Source organism: Homo sapiens, chromosome 1 (genome assembly GCF_000001405.40).
Source record: "Homo sapiens chromosome 1, GRCh38.p14 Primary Assembly".
Lineage (NCBI taxonomy): Eukaryota > Metazoa > Chordata > Mammalia > Primates > Hominidae > Homo > Homo sapiens.
This window is the reverse complement of record NC_000001.11, coordinates 106,562,738-106,578,924: the sequence shown is the minus strand read 5'-3', so window position 1 is coordinate 106,578,924 and position 16,187 is coordinate 106,562,738.

The following is a 16,187-nucleotide window of genomic DNA, read 5'->3' as shown; positions in this document are numbered from 1 at the left end:
CATTGGTCGTTTTGGTAAAGTATCCAGTTGCCACAGCTGGGAACCACTGATCAAGATCAGCCTCTTCCTAGTATATACAAAATATAAGCCCAAACCAAATGTTTTTATATAAATTTTCTGTGCTTTTTCTGGACTTTTGTGTTGGAATATATCAACATTAAAAAAATTACAAAGTTATGTTCCCTTATAAAAATCTGATAAAAGAAGTAGACAGACATGTTTTCTAATGCCTATATGATTATAATCCTTATGTTATATAGCTCTAACTTTTTATTTAATCAATATAAACCCATAGTCAGGGGTGTCATGTTTTTTCTTAATATTCTTTTGAGAGCTTAATATAAAAAGCATTTTCATAGAATCCTATCAGTAAGGAGAAATTAGATAAAAGGAAAATATTTCTAAGGTCTATTTTGTGTTCTAAAGTTATAAATTTATAATTTTTCCACTTTTATATGTGCATACCAAAAGATAACTTTTTATTCAAAGTATTATAAATGATTTTAGTTATTTTGTAGAGATTAATGCATGAAAATATATTTGTTTGAATGATGTTTTAAATATCCCTCATCAGTAATTCAGGTGATATTCTCAAACCAGATGAGGACTTCTCTGATTAATCTAAGTATTCTTTTCATGCCCAAAGTTGGGGTTCCCTGGATATTTTAAAATATATGGACAACCTTTTTATCTTGGCATGTATCTTTGATTTCACCTATGCTGTGTGTGCTAAGTATGGGATCCATTATTTTTTAATAAATATTCATTGGTTACCCTGAATACTGGTGACTAGGGTCATCCATGAAAAATGTAGATAGATTTTTCTGCCTTACTTATTCTTCTAGTTTAATCTAGTGTTTCTCAAACTTTATTGTACATACAAGTCACCTGGATCGTATAAAATACAATCTCAGATGTAGTAGATCTGGTATATGACCTGAGATTATGTATTTCTAACAAGCTCCCAGGTGATACTGATATTGCTGGTCTGTGGAGCACACATTAAGTAATAAGATTTCATTCTTCCTTGGTGACTTTAGGTGTCAGTGATTTCTACTATTGAATTATTACAAACATATATTTTTGTTATGAAATACACTATTTAAATCAAATACTTAAAAAATACTTGCCATTAATTTGATTGTAGTTCTGCTCTGTAACTCAATTATAACCTGTTTGAGGCATGGCCCAAGTTTCATATTTCCTTACCTCTGATAACGTCTAGTGTGCCTGGGACCAGGGAAAGTACTTAATGAATACTTAATAGAGGATATTTGATAATTTGATTTTAACCTTGCAGAAAAGCTGAAGGGAGCATTGCATGATTTCTCAAAGATCCCAGTATAACTATATAAAAAATCAAATAGATTTGGTGATAATAATCTTTGTATTGAAAGGACTTCTGCCTCCCTCTCTACCACACACCCTAATCATCAATCTCCTTTTTATTTTCTGCATGCGTTTCAAATAGATGATATGCTCAGTAAGCAGCAGCAGTTGCTGCATTGCAGAACCCCTCTCACCATCATAAAGTAGCTCTCAAAGAAAGTGCCTATGGATTAAAAAGGTTTGTGGAGAGGAACCAGCGGTGTGCCTAATCTGTAGAAAATGTTTGTAGAAAAATATAGGTTCTGATTATTCCCACAGTGCCTCTTCTGAACAGAAATGGGAATTGTGGGCTTCATTTTATTATTTTAATTAGCCTTATGTAGTGCATTACGGATTCCAAAGTGGTCAGAAAGCCACAGTACTCCCATGTATTTATTTCATAGTTCTGTATGCCATGACAATTGGCTTTCAGATTTCAACAAATTTTATCCCAGGGCTTTGGTTAATTGTGACAATAATGCAAGAATAAATGAGCACGTGCACTATTATTTGTTGCATAAATACACACCAAACTTTACCCAGCATCCTCATTTTTAAGGCTTTTGTTTTTTTTTAGAAATGTCTTCTCTCTTACAAAAATGTTTCTCCATGTTAAGTTGCCTTCTTAGAGCACTGACTATTACATGCAAAAACAGTGAGGTTTTTGTCATGTAACAAATGTCCATTTTCCCTACTGACAAGGAGCCATTCCCAACCGCTGCACTCATGCAGCTGCCTGCTGCTTTGGACCTAACACTGTCATCCAAGGAGTGGTGCTTTTTATTTCTCTAGCATAGGTGACTTAATGTGACAAATGCAACTAGTTCTCAATACTGAATGAATTATAGAGAAAGCACAGAAAGCTAAAACCCAAGAATCAAGGTTTTGTTTAAAGAATAGTGACACTTATTGTAAACTAGAGTTTGTCTGTTTGTTTTTAATTGCAGGTAACACCAAAGGAATCATGTCATACACATTGCCTGCAAGAGAGTGGGTCTTGAGAGTTGAGACAATGATGAACACTTTACTTAGATTGCAAATTATCTAGCTACCTCTGCCTACTGTGAAATCAACTGAAGCCTTTCAGCATTTAATTAAGCAGGACCAAAGAAAGCTCCAATAATAACAGTGTGAAATTGCCAGAGAAAAATTATGAATACAAAGGGAGAAATCACCAGTAATTAACCCCAATCGGAGACTACAGAGGAGACTCCAAAACAAGAGGGTTGCACATATAAATAATACTAAATTTGCTTGTCTTAAATGATTTCGTCGCGTTCAATTGAGCTATAATTTCACAAGAATAGTGGCCCAATTGCTAAGAAAAAAATGCTCCATGTAGCAATTCTCCAAACCTTACTAGGGCAGATGAGTTTCTCATCTTGTGTGAGCTTCCTCTTTGCTTTATGGGTGGAATTTTACAATATTACTTTATCATCCCTAGCTGAGATATTGTGTAGAAAAAAAGGAACCATAGACATGGTGTTTGGGGTTGAGGAAGAGAGGGGATTCTTCCTAAAGTAAATCTACAAAATAAGATTCATTAGCACCCTAGAAAACTACATCTTTCCTCATAATTTGTCAACCTGGAAATTTCATTTTTTAAAAAATCTAGCTTATATATTATCTTCTTTAGTGGTATCTTCTATGACCTGCAGTGCTTGTCTATTCTTAGCCCTTTGAACTATCTCAATTAATTAGCATAGCTCACATTACCTTACGATTGTTTATTCTATATTATGACTCACTTTTTAAGCATCTTTAAGGCATAATCTAAATTTTATGTTATTCATCTTTGTATTCCAGCACCTAGTACAGTGCCTGACCACATATTAGCATCTCAACAAATGTTTTTTAAGTGCTTAGCATTGTATCTATATGATATTATATATACTAGATATGTAACATAATAGATATAAGGATATGCTGATTTTCAAAAGGACTTGATATGAATATCACAAATACAGATTGAGATTTCAAAAGAAGCATCTTAATAATAAAAATATGTCATGAATTACATAAATGCTTTTTCTAAACACCTATAGCACTACACATTGTTATGTAGAGTCTGTGAGTTTAGTTCATCTTGTGCTGTCTGATTAATAATTACTACAGGTAAAAAACAATGAAAGCAATAAGTTTTGTTTTCAGAAATTTGAGATTTAGAAAAATTAAATTTATTATATAAGTATTCTTACAAATCATAGAAAAGATACACACAGTAAGCCTGTATTAGTCCATTCTCACATTGCTATAAAGGACTACTTGAAACAGGGTAATTTATAAAGAAAAGAAGTTTAATTGGTTCACAAGTCTCCAGGCTGTGCAGGAATCTGGCTGGGGAGGCCTCAGGAAACTTACAATCATGGTGGACGGTAAAGAGGAAATGGGCAAGTCTGCATGTGGCCAGAGCAGGAGGAAGAGAGAACAAAGAGGGAGGTTCTACACACTTTCCAACAATCAGATTTTATGAGAACTCTATCATGAGACAGCATTAGAAACCACCCCCATGATCCAATCACCTTCCACCAGGCCCTACCTCCAACATTGGGAATTACAATTCAATCTGAGATTTGGGTGGGGACACAGAGCCAAACCATATCAAAGCCTATTTATTATATTATCAGTTAAATAGCTTTATGTCATATATTACTCATAGAAATTATACATATTTTAGTAGTCCATGATATCCACCCATCAAAATGCTTGAAGAAATTTAATTTTTAAAAAATTTAAAAATTGTTTAAGAATTAAAGAATTCTTAAAAAAGAAATGTTTTAAGATTTTGGAATATTATTCACCTGGAAGATTGAGGAAATGCAGAGTTATATGTACATGTTAGCTAAAGTACAAATTATGTAGATAAACTGGCCTTTATTTATATGCCTCAATTTCAGTGATATACAAGTAGCCCTCTCTATATTTGTCTGACTGTGAAATAATAATTGTAATTAAAAAAAGTTAACATACAGTTTATAATTCTAATGCCACAGTTGGTTTCTCAGTTATTTTAAACCTAATTTTTTTATTGTTTTAATGTTATCTGTTGTTCAATAAATACATTTTAATTTAATTTGAACAGATGACACATTGTTAGGTTTTACAATGATTCAAAGACTATTTATTAAATGGAGGTATTATTTTAAAAATAATTTCCTAAACCATTGTTAAAACTGTTATTTTGAAAATTAAAGGGAATTTGGCCTAATGATTGTTTAACCAAATTCCTTTGCTAACAGCATTCTACCATTGTAAATATCAGCTCTGAATGACATTACATATTTCAGTAAAAATAACCCCCTGGTAATTGATTCTTGACTTTTATTCTTTAGCTTATTATGAATTGGGATTAGTCCCAGTTGTTTAATTTTCCTGCATGTGTGCATTTGCTCAAACTATTCTCTCCACTTGCAAACCCCTTACCTCATATGTCTGTCTATTTAAATCCCAACCAATTTTTAAGTTTCAGGTAAATTTTCATCCATGTAGTGTATGCCATCCTAGTGTCTTATCACTGCAGGCATTCACTGAGTATCTATAGGCTTTTTCTCTTGTAAGATGGATTTGTAGTACAGTTCATAGCGTTTCTTCTTCCAGTATGCCTCCAACAATTGCATTAAACATTCATCTAATAAGACAAATGCAACTAAATGTGCATGGATGGAGATTGGCAAGAAAGAGAGAAAGTGGGATTTTAAATAGAGGGTGATTTTATAGATCCCAGTCATATCCTCTTCCATCCATAATAAATGGTCTTAAAGAGCGTGACTTTCTACACTGGTTCTCTAAATAGTTCTTAATCACCTATGTCTCAGGAACTGAAATCCTGCCATCACATTAAGTTCATCCAACATGACTCCCTACACGCAGTCTTATGCTTGATGTGATGATCAACAATAAAACAACGATCTGTTTCAACACTGAAGAAAACCTAACTGTCAGGGTTTAATGCAAAACTCAATCTTTAATGAGGTATCTTCCTTAAGAGTTTTCTGGACAATTTTTAACTATATACAATTTTTCTCTGACTCACTGATTTTATACTTTAAACTTCACCTTAAATGCGACTCCACTGTGTAATATTATAAATATCTCTTTCATATCTAATTTATCTATTAGACTATAGTATTACTGTAGGTTAGATTACTGCTTTCAATTCTCATTCTCTTTTTCTCATTAACATTATTCATCCCCACTCTTGTTATGTCTTGATGGTGATCAGAGTTTATTTTCTCACTGTTTGATATTTGTCTTGATGATGGGGTGGGACACAAGCAGGCTTTAAATGTGCTATTGAGGTGTGACTTTTCCTCTTGTGTTCTCATGATTCACCATGAGAAGCATAGGGTTTGGGTAACAACTGTTCCTAGGAGAATAAAGAAACACTTGGAGATATCCTGAATCCAACCTGCAGCATGGAACGGAGACATCCAATCACAATTGTTTGTCAAATCCACAGCAAACAAACTGTGGTATGCCATTATTTCCTCATTTGTTTAAGGATGATGATGATGGTGGTGGTGGTGGTGGTGGTGGTGGTATAATATCTATAGCAAAGAGTTCCTTTGTGTGTTACATGAATTACTATGTGTCTTAGAACACTGCCTGACTCAAAGTAAGCGCTTAATAAATGTCAATTATTATCATTACAGTTTTAAATCATGGTTTAATCACTTTACATATAGTATCTCACTGAATATTAAAACACCTTTATGAGAGAAATACTATTATTATTTCTATTTAGCAGATGAGACACTGAGAAACAGAGTTAAATAATTTTCTCAAGGTCATACAGCTCTTAAATGGCAAAGTGAGACTTTGAATGGAGATGTGCTGACTCTGGGGTCCACTTTTAATCACCGCTATCTTCCACATATTATTTTTACTCTGGTTTCAAATTTTTAGAAACAAAAGCTAAAAACTCTATAATGCCACTTTAACCTTCTGACTTATCACACACATACCCTAAGGCAATGTGGAACAGAGCCAGCTAACTGCCAAAGGGAACAAAAGGGAAATAATACAGGACAGAAAAAGAATAATATCTCAGAATTTTATCCAGCCATCCTAGGATTTTTGAGTCTAAATAATGATTTTACTTTCAATTTGTTTCTAAGTGAGAACATGACAACACTTAAAAAGTCTGTTTTCATGAATTTCCTTACGTAAATGTGGTTCTTAGGAGTTAGAACAAAAGATGAAGAAATTAAGAAAGGAAAGAAAGCAAGGGATATACCCTCCTTCCATATTAAACTTATTAAAAATGTTTACTTATTTATATATGTAGATATTTCTCAGTGGAATTTCAAGGAAAGTAAAGAGTTTTTTGTTGTTGTTGTTGTTGGAACACTATATTTTAAATCCTAATGCTTAGTTGTCCAAGAGTGTTAAGGACATTGAATTTCCGTATGGAATAGAAGATTCTGTTTTAGGTAATTCCATCTTTTATCTAATGTCAAGTTAAGTAAACCAATGTTCAGCTGATAGCTGTTTTCTCACGCTATCTTGTTTCCCCAAAGGCATTGGTGGATGGGTATAGAGGAAGAAAAACATACACCATCTGTACTAGAATTATGGGAATTTCCACTAGAGAGAGTTTCTCCTTACAGTTCAAAAAGTTATGCTGAGGAATTTGCTAAGCTCTTCCAGTGGGTTCGATTGATAGCATTATCTTTTCATAAAGAGAGAATACTGAGTTATTCTGGCAGTTTTTTTTGACATGACTGTACACTAAAATGTTTTTGAAAAGCCTCTTTTCCAGAAAATAGGGCTCCCTATATTGTTACAGGACATAATCCAATATTTATGACATATTGCCAAAGGTTGGAAATAAGAGCTAACCTGAAGACAGGCCATGGCTATAGCTCACATATACATAAGTCAACAGTTGGAGAAAGACAGTAAAACCAACCTCACAGGGTTGACAAGAATTGCATTCTGGGTTCTAGACAGAAATATGGTTATAATAAAGCATTAAGCAGGCTGCACTTTGGCCCACTTCCCTGTAGTCGCTTCTTAACCAAAAGTCACGTAGCTCTAAATACTGAGCATTTACAATTCCCTTGCTCCTATTGATAAGATCTGTGATGTTAGAATCACAAGGCTTTTGTTAAGAATTATTAAGATGTTTTTGAAATCCAGAATTCTGGTGGAACAGCTGCTGCCAACCAGTTTGAAGGCCACCTACAGTGGAACCAAATCAGCATAAGAATGTAGTTTCTTCATCTCCTGGTCCCATGACTTCACTCTTTGACCAATCAACAGTCTCTATACCTTTGCCAAGTAGCTGTCCAAACCTCTTAAAATTCCTAACCCCAAACTCCTCAGGGAGACAGATTAGTGGTTTCCTCTTATTTGCTCAGGTGGCTGCCCTACAATATTAAACCTCTTTCTCTGCTGCAACTCGGTGGCTCAGTATATTCACGTACCGTGTATTGGGAAATTAACGTGGTATGGTTACATCAATGATGCAAGAAGTCCCTAGTCTACCATGGTTAAAGTCTACAGCTACTTATTTAGTGGTAGAAAGGAGATTTGTCCAACATTCATAAACATAACTTATTATCTCTTCCATATATATTTGGATTTTAGGAGCTTTGGGAGTAACCTGGAAAGTGGACTCCCCTGGTGATCAATGTTCTCACCATTATGACAATGAAAATGAATCTTTGCACGTCAAGTTTAGAGACCTAGAAGGAACTATCTTTTTAAAGTCTTGAGATATCTGCTAATTGAAAATAATTCAAACAACAAAGGTATAGTGTAGTCCTCATTATTCCCTCCCTTGTTAGTAGTAGAAATTGGGTGGTATTAGGTTAGATCCCAAGAGAAAAAGAAGCCAAGGCTCTGCATCTCCTTTAGTTTCCAAAATAGAATTTCCATTTGTTTGGAATTCAAATGTAGTGTTGCCTTCCAAATTCTGGTAAATATATTTAAAAACAGAAGTTAGTTCGGGGAATGATACTGCTCAGTTCAGCGTGCTAAAACATATGCTTTTACGGCCCGAGATAAACCAATTCAATCCCACTGTAGCATATATTTCAATAACTCTTTGGAATTGAGATCATCAATAGCATTTCATATTCTTTTATAATATAAAAAATTACTGAAACAAGAGTTTTTCTTTTGGTGGATATGTGATTATTCTGCTGAGACTTTTTGACATGTTGGCCTTTTGGCCTAAAATAACACCAAAAGAGAAAACATTTGGGTAAGCTAGCTAAAAGATAAATCTAGAGTAGAGAGAAATAACCCAAATGCTAAAGAGAAGACATTTTGAGTAAGGTATCTCATAACTGATAAAATGACAGGCTTTTATATGCAAGCATCTCCATGACTAAAATAGAGTGAAAATGGGACTTAGAATGAAAAATATATTAGTTTACAGAGAAAGTAGGAATTATCAGAAATCTGCTCCAATTGAGAAGATTAGTAACTACCAAATTATAAGAGGTCATTGTTAGTACCAATTGCCTTCATCTCCCTATGATAATAGAAATATGAACTCATCTTTTCTGGCTTAATCTGTCTGTGTCAATGGTTTTCAGACAAAAGCATTGTGGTGAGAATATGAAGAGTCAGGCCATCCTTGGGGAAATTTATATCCGGCCAGATGATAATTAATATGCTTCCATATCACTGTAAAAGATAGACTTACTCCATGGATTAAATCCATTCATATCTGATAGGGGTATGCCTCTGATGGCCACTGGCCTGGTGACTTCCCTGAACCTGGCCTTGGGAAAGAAGCAGCCTATGCCAATGGAAGACAACTTTTAATTGAGCCCTAGAACTTCTGTTCATTTCTTCCAGCACATTTTGTCAAATAACTCGTTTCATTTTTATCAGGTCCAGGGGCTCAGGGCTATTGGGTAGAGAAGAGAAAGGTGGCAACCATTCTGTATTTGATTCCAATAGGGCAGTGATTCTCAGACTTTAGTGTGCATCCAAATCACGCGATGAACTTGATCATGCACAGGTTGCTGGTCTCCAATTCTAGAGTTGCTAACTTGGTAGGTCTGAGATGAAGCCTGAGTCTTCCGAGGCTGGGGCTGCTAGTCTGAGGACCACACTTTATAAGAAGCACTGCAATGGAGCATATAGATGTTGTTCTTAAACAAATGCTTTCCCATTTTGGTGCATAGACTGTGCTACAGTTGCATGTAAGGGAAAGAAAGGATCAGAGACCAGGAATATGTGTGTAGCCTGGGAGCCAGGGACACGCAGGCCTCTTAAGGCTGATCATTCGGGTAGAATCATGTCTAGAGTTTTGCCTACATAATGAACCTATAGTTTAATATGAGTCTTATATCTTGTACATTTAAAATGAGAGATGATTGAGAAACCATTTCAGCCATTGTATAGATCAGAAAGATTAGTGGAAATAAACGGGAAAAAGGGTCTGGCTTGAAGCATGGGCATTTCAGGCCAGCAGACTCAAGAAACCCTTCTCATAGGGTTGAGGGAAAACCAGAAACAATTGCAGCATTTGTACTTGTCATTTACTAGACATTTTGTAAATTTTCTTTCCCTCTTCCTCTTTTCTTTTTTCTCTTCCTCTTCCCCTCCCACTCTCTCCCTCCCTCCCTCTCTCTCTTTCTAAAACACACACAAACAACCAAAGTAATAAGATATTTTTAGGCAGCAAATGGCATATGCTTAAGACTCATAGTGAGAAAAAAAATTTTCAATATCCTTAAGATGTGTATTACCAAATTTCAATTGTGGAAGAAAGTATGCTTAAGAAGTAAACACTTGATCTTCTTGCTCAGAAAGGTTTGCTCCTTTTAGCATTCCACTGGGAGTACATTTAAAAAAATTCTCTTCCCTTCCAAGTAGGTAACCATTTAGCTTCTGACATGAAATAGCTGATAACCATCTCTTCCCTTTCAAATGATTGAAATCGCTGTTGAAGGGATGGTTAATTTTTAATGTACTTGTTTCAAAAGTTAGACGAACTTTTAAAAACTCAAGTCAGAAACGAAAACGGATGTTATCCTATGGACAAATGACATCAATTGAAATGTACTTTTTTTCTTCAAAGTGATTGACGTAATTTTCTATTAAAGTGACCTTTGCTAGAAATGTTTTCCCTTTAATGATTTCCTGTCTCTTTGGCTCAGCAGCCAACAGAAAAACTGGTTTAAGCCTGTTTCAGCTACTTGATGTTGAAATGGGAAGAAAAGTGGACTCTGAAGCAAGCATAGCTAAGGTGCCATGTGACAGCCATGGCAATCCTAACCGAGCCTTCTAGCTTCTACCATCACAGCTCTCCTTGGTCTTCTCATTGAGTCATATCTGCTACTTTAATGCAGCCCCACCCCCCCTTTTTTATTATCAAGCATCTGTGGTCATGCAGCTACACTCATAGAACTCCAGGTGAATATGCTAACATAATCTGTACCAGTTGTAGAAATATAAATATATTATAATCTAAAGAAAAATGAGGCAAGGAAGAAGCTGAGATCCAGATATGAAAGGACGTTGTAAAGGATGGAGTGAGAAGTGAGAATATACATATACAACTTGAAAGAGTTTGCTGTTCTCGGGTCCGTGGTTGAGAATCAAGTGTGTGTGTGTGTGTGTGTGCACGCGTGTGTGTGTGTAAACCAACCCTTTCTAGTTTGTTGTTATTTGCCATTTTCTTTTGGTCTGATTTTTCCCTATCTTTAGAAACTGGCTCTGGTACAAAAATTCCTGAATGTATTACTGATTGCGTCTTAGAATTTGCTATTTTAATACATTTGTTAATCTAAAAGTCACTCTACTTTTCTGACCCATGTATCGACTACCGTAGAGAAGGTTAGAAAAACACACCAGCATTTACTTGGTTTGTAGAGTGATTTAAATTTTAATTGTGAAGAAGGATTGTTTTCCTTTAGCATGTGATCCTGTTTGTAATTTTCTATCACAAGAGGCAGAAACATTTTTGTGTCAGCATTATCTAATAGAAAGTGACCCTGACATAAAAGTCTTAGCCATTGAAATTTATCTAGGAAATGAACAAGAAGTAGTACACAGAAACAAAAAAAAATGCTTTAAGTAATAATCGGTGATAAGTAGTTATTATGATTTATTTCACTACTTGTATGAAAAGTATCTACGGACAGAGTTAATTGAAAAAGCATGCATAGTCTCCTCTCTTGTAAGACTTCATGCTGGCTCAACAAAATCCATGCTGCTTTTCAACACATATGTACACGCATGCATAAACACACACACTCACACATATTTCTAAAGCCACTTATTACTACTACTTCCTTAGGGATAAGAAATGCCAATAGTAAATAGGAAATAATGTGTGATTTTTCTCGTTTGAACTTATACTTGAATTTGTTGGAAAGGCCCCCTTTAGCTTTAACATTATAAACTGTGCTCAGCACACCAGCCAGTCTCCCTATACGTATTTATTCATGATATTTATTTATAGATCCTATCTGAATTAGAACATATTGAGGTACAGAGTAATGAGATTAAGACATAGAATGATTTTTTTTTGTCCATTACTTGTAATGGGATTATTACTTGGGATTATTTCAGAAAAAGATTCACTTAATCCACAGGTCTTAAGTACAATCCAAACTGATTTAGGCCAGTTGAGTTAATTTCAATTTGTTCTAGAAAGAAAGAAAAGCAATGATTTTGTTGCAGGAGGATCTGGAGTTTGACATATATATGTATCTGTAAAATCAGCCAAAAAAAAAAGCTTGAATAATGTAAGAATAATTACAAATGAACAAAACTAGAGGAGAGAAAATGTGAAAAAGATTATAAAGTTGAATTAAATTTTCCCTGAGTCTCCAAATATCTCTAGATATATACCTGACCCAACACACTACATAACTCTGGGTTGCCACTCTTTTCTTTCCCAGCTATATTATGTCAAAATCTCTTCTACTTGTGACAAGACATCATGCTTGGTACTTTGGTTACCCGTACAAAGTGAGTGGTGAGGTATTTCTTGAATAAGTCAAGTCCAACTGGCTTGTCCTGTAGAGGACAGAGAAATTGCTATTACTCTCAACCTTTCTCTGATTTGTAGTCGGACAACATTCAGTAGACACCAGAGAGGTTTGTTTGGAGGTGAGGAGTGCTTCCCATTGAACACCTTTCTATCCAGAAAATATAATTGTCATGGGTTAACAGCAATGCTGAGTTCAAAATCCTTAGAAATAAAATATAAATAATATATATGTGATTTTCAGTAAATATTTTACATTTCTATCACTTTTATTATATATTTTAATCTTTTTACTTTGGTACTCTGTGCCTTCTATTCTTTTGAGTATTTTATTGAATAATTCACTGAAAATCATAGATTCTACTTTTAGTAACATTTTATTTTTAACGAAAAGTTTTAAAATTCAAACTGTTCAGCTAGCACATTTGGGCATTTTACAGGGATAAATTTGGTGAACATAAGCATTTAAATAAAATATTAGACATTTAAAAATTGCTGTATTTGGAAATAAATCATATCAACTCTAACAACATATTAAATCAGAGATTCACCTTATAAACATAAATATTTTTTCTATCTATCTCACAACTGAGCTTCAGAGCTAAGTGTATAGTCATACTGTTTACTGATCTGAAAATCTTAAGAGTTGCAAATGAAGAACCTGCTTTTTCCACAGGTCCAAGAAGGAGAGAATACTATGTAAGAAAGGCAATCTTTATTTCTGCAAAAATAACTCTGCCAAGGCCAGGCATATTACCAACACACCAAAGTTGAAAGTGGAGATCATGCTAGGCTATCTTATTCATGCTGATGTATAATCTAATTTCAAGTTTTTCACTTTGCAAAAGTTCTTGTTTCAAGGAAACCAATTCTCCCTGCCTACACCCTATTTTTATCTCTGAAATAAATAAAAAAATGCAGGATACCCTTGGAATGAAATTTTTTCTTATTAGGAGCTGACTCTGCCCTTCTTTGAACCACAACTGCATATTATCACTTATCAATAAATCATTTCAATGACTTCCGTCACTCCATCTCAGGCTGGAAAGTCACACTTCCTTTGGTCTGATAAACCTTTTAGGTTACTTCTTTAATGTATGTCAAATGTATCTATACATCAAATGACATTTCAAGAGCTTGAAAGATCTCATTAGAGTGGTGTTTTAAAATGGCTGAGTTCTATTTTACTGTAAAAGAGAAAAAAGATGCAACTTCAAGTGACTATGTATTTACCCTTCAGGTATTTATGTGTTTACCTCTCTACCCCTGTAGACCATGAGCTTCTTTGGGCTGGGTCTCTCTGCTTAATTATCTTTTTTGTTTGTTTGTTTTTTTAACACTCTCCTTTGGTGAAATGCCTTGAACAAACTAGATTATCAGCAAATTTTGAATCGAACTTTGAATTTTCTAGAATCACATATCTTGTCTGCCTCACACCCCCATTCTATGCCATGGAATGTGGACAGGAGAAACAACAAAAGGAAAGAAGTTCTCAAGGACAGCATCAAGACGTGTGGAAATAGGTATGGTTTTCCTTAGCTTCCCTCCTCCGTCATCTCATACGCACACACAAACACACACACACACACACACACACACACCCTTCTACCTTCTTCATGTTCATTTATAATCCAATATTAATATTAATATTAATTTTAAATCCCACGCTTTACTTGCTTTATGTAAACTACTTGCCCTATATGCTGAGATAATGTTAGGAATTTGTTTTGTTAAATTGTCTAATGTCACAATTCTAAGTGGCAGGAGTGGAATTGAAAATTGTGTTTATATGTCTTTTCTTGTAAAGAGAGAGATGGAAGTCTTGCTATGTTATTCAGGCTGGCCTTGATTTCCTGGGATTAAATGATACTCTCAACTTAGCCTCCCGAGTAGCTGGAGCTACAGGCTATGTAGCTGTATTTTATTCTTAGAGGTGAGGTATCTCTCCTCCTCATTCCACCTGTCCTGCTGTCTCTGAAACTCCATTTATCTTGTCCCCTCTAATCTTGCTCTATCTTTTACTACTATCATGTCAACATTGTAAACTTCCTCATTCTATTGTAGTTTTTTTTTTTCTCCTAAGCATCCTCATTTCTCGCCTAACCTGAATTTGGCTACGTTGACTTTGTGCCTCTTTGTGGTTACAACCTTTTTGCCCTCTTTTTCATGAAAAGATAGTCTGCACTCCTTGTCCCCACTTCCTCATTTTCCATTTACCATGCAACTCACAGCTGTTTGGCTTTTGTGCCAAACAGACTGAAATTACCCTGGCAAGGGTAAACCACCAAAAGACTTATTTAAATGTTTATATATCTGGAATAAAGACCTATAGTAATACATTTCACAGGGTGGATACATAAGCTCTTTGACTTTCATAATTCCTAGTTGCCTTCTATGAGACCAGTTGTCTTCTTACGACCTGACCTCTACTTCTAAGTTTCTCTCATGAACATCTCTTCTGCATACCATTTAAACTGGTGATCTCTCGTATTCTATTCTCACAGCCTACCCCTCTTCTTACTTTAAATCTCAGCCTCCTTATATATCACCCTCTTCTCTTTTACGGAACCCATTTCCGATATGCATGTGAGACACACATGTAGATACTAAGAGAGATACTGTAGGTAGATATCAGATAGGACATCTATAGCCTTGATTTCCGTAGGGGCAATCTAACTTCTTGCCACATATTTCCAGTCATATATTCCAGAAATATTACTATTTAACGGGCTCTTTTTGAGAAAACTCAAAATTTTTTCTTCCATATTTTCTTATTTCTCATCTCATAGCTTTGTAAAAAGCATCACTGTACACCTAGCCTTCCAGTTTTTCATTTCCCATTGAATCCTATCCCTCAACCATCACATACAATTAATTGCCAAATCCATTTGATCTTTCCTCCTGAATTGTTCTGAAATCTATTTCCTATTTTGCATGACACCAACTAATATTGAGTTCAAGCAGGCTTTTGTTTTAATTAGCATGAAATAGTGAAATACCAAACTAACAACCTTTTACCTTCAGTGTGTCCCTTCTTCCCCACTTTATCAGCCTATCCATCTTTCATCTTGTAGCCAGAGTGAGCTTTCAAAATTAAAACTTAGTTCATATCACTCTTTTATAAAAATTCTTTATTTTAATTTTTGTGAGTACATAATAGGTGTATGTATTTCTTGGTTACATGAGATATTTTTATTCAGGCTTGCAATCTATAATAATCACATCAAACATTTGGGGTATCCATCAGCTCAGACATTTATTTTTTATGTTACAAACAATCCAGTTTTACACATTTCGTGATTTGAAAAAAATGTACAATTAAATTATTTTTTACTATAGTTGCCCTGTTGTGCTAGCAAATACTAGGTCTTATTCATTCTTTCTAACAATTTTTGTACCAATTAACAATCCCCACTTCTCCTCCACCCCCTCCCACTACCCTTCCCAGACTCTCATAAGCATCCATCTACTCACTCTCTCTATGAGTTCAATTATTTCAATGTTTAGCTCCCACAAATAAGTGAGAACATGTGAAGTTTGTCTTTCTGTGCATAGCTTATTTCACTCAACAAAATGACTCATGTTGTTGCAATTGACAGGTTCTCATTCTTTCTTGTGTGTGGCTGAATAGTATTCCACCGTGTATATGTACCATATTTTCATTGCAATTTGTCTGTTAATGAACACTTAGGTTGCATCCAAACCTTGCCTGTTGTGAATACTCCTGCAATAAACAGGGGAGTGCATGTATCTCTTCAATATACTGATTTCCTTTCTTTTAGGTATATACCTAGGAGTGAGATTGCTGGATCACATGGTAACTCTATTTTTAGTTCTTTGAGGAACCTCCAAATTGTTC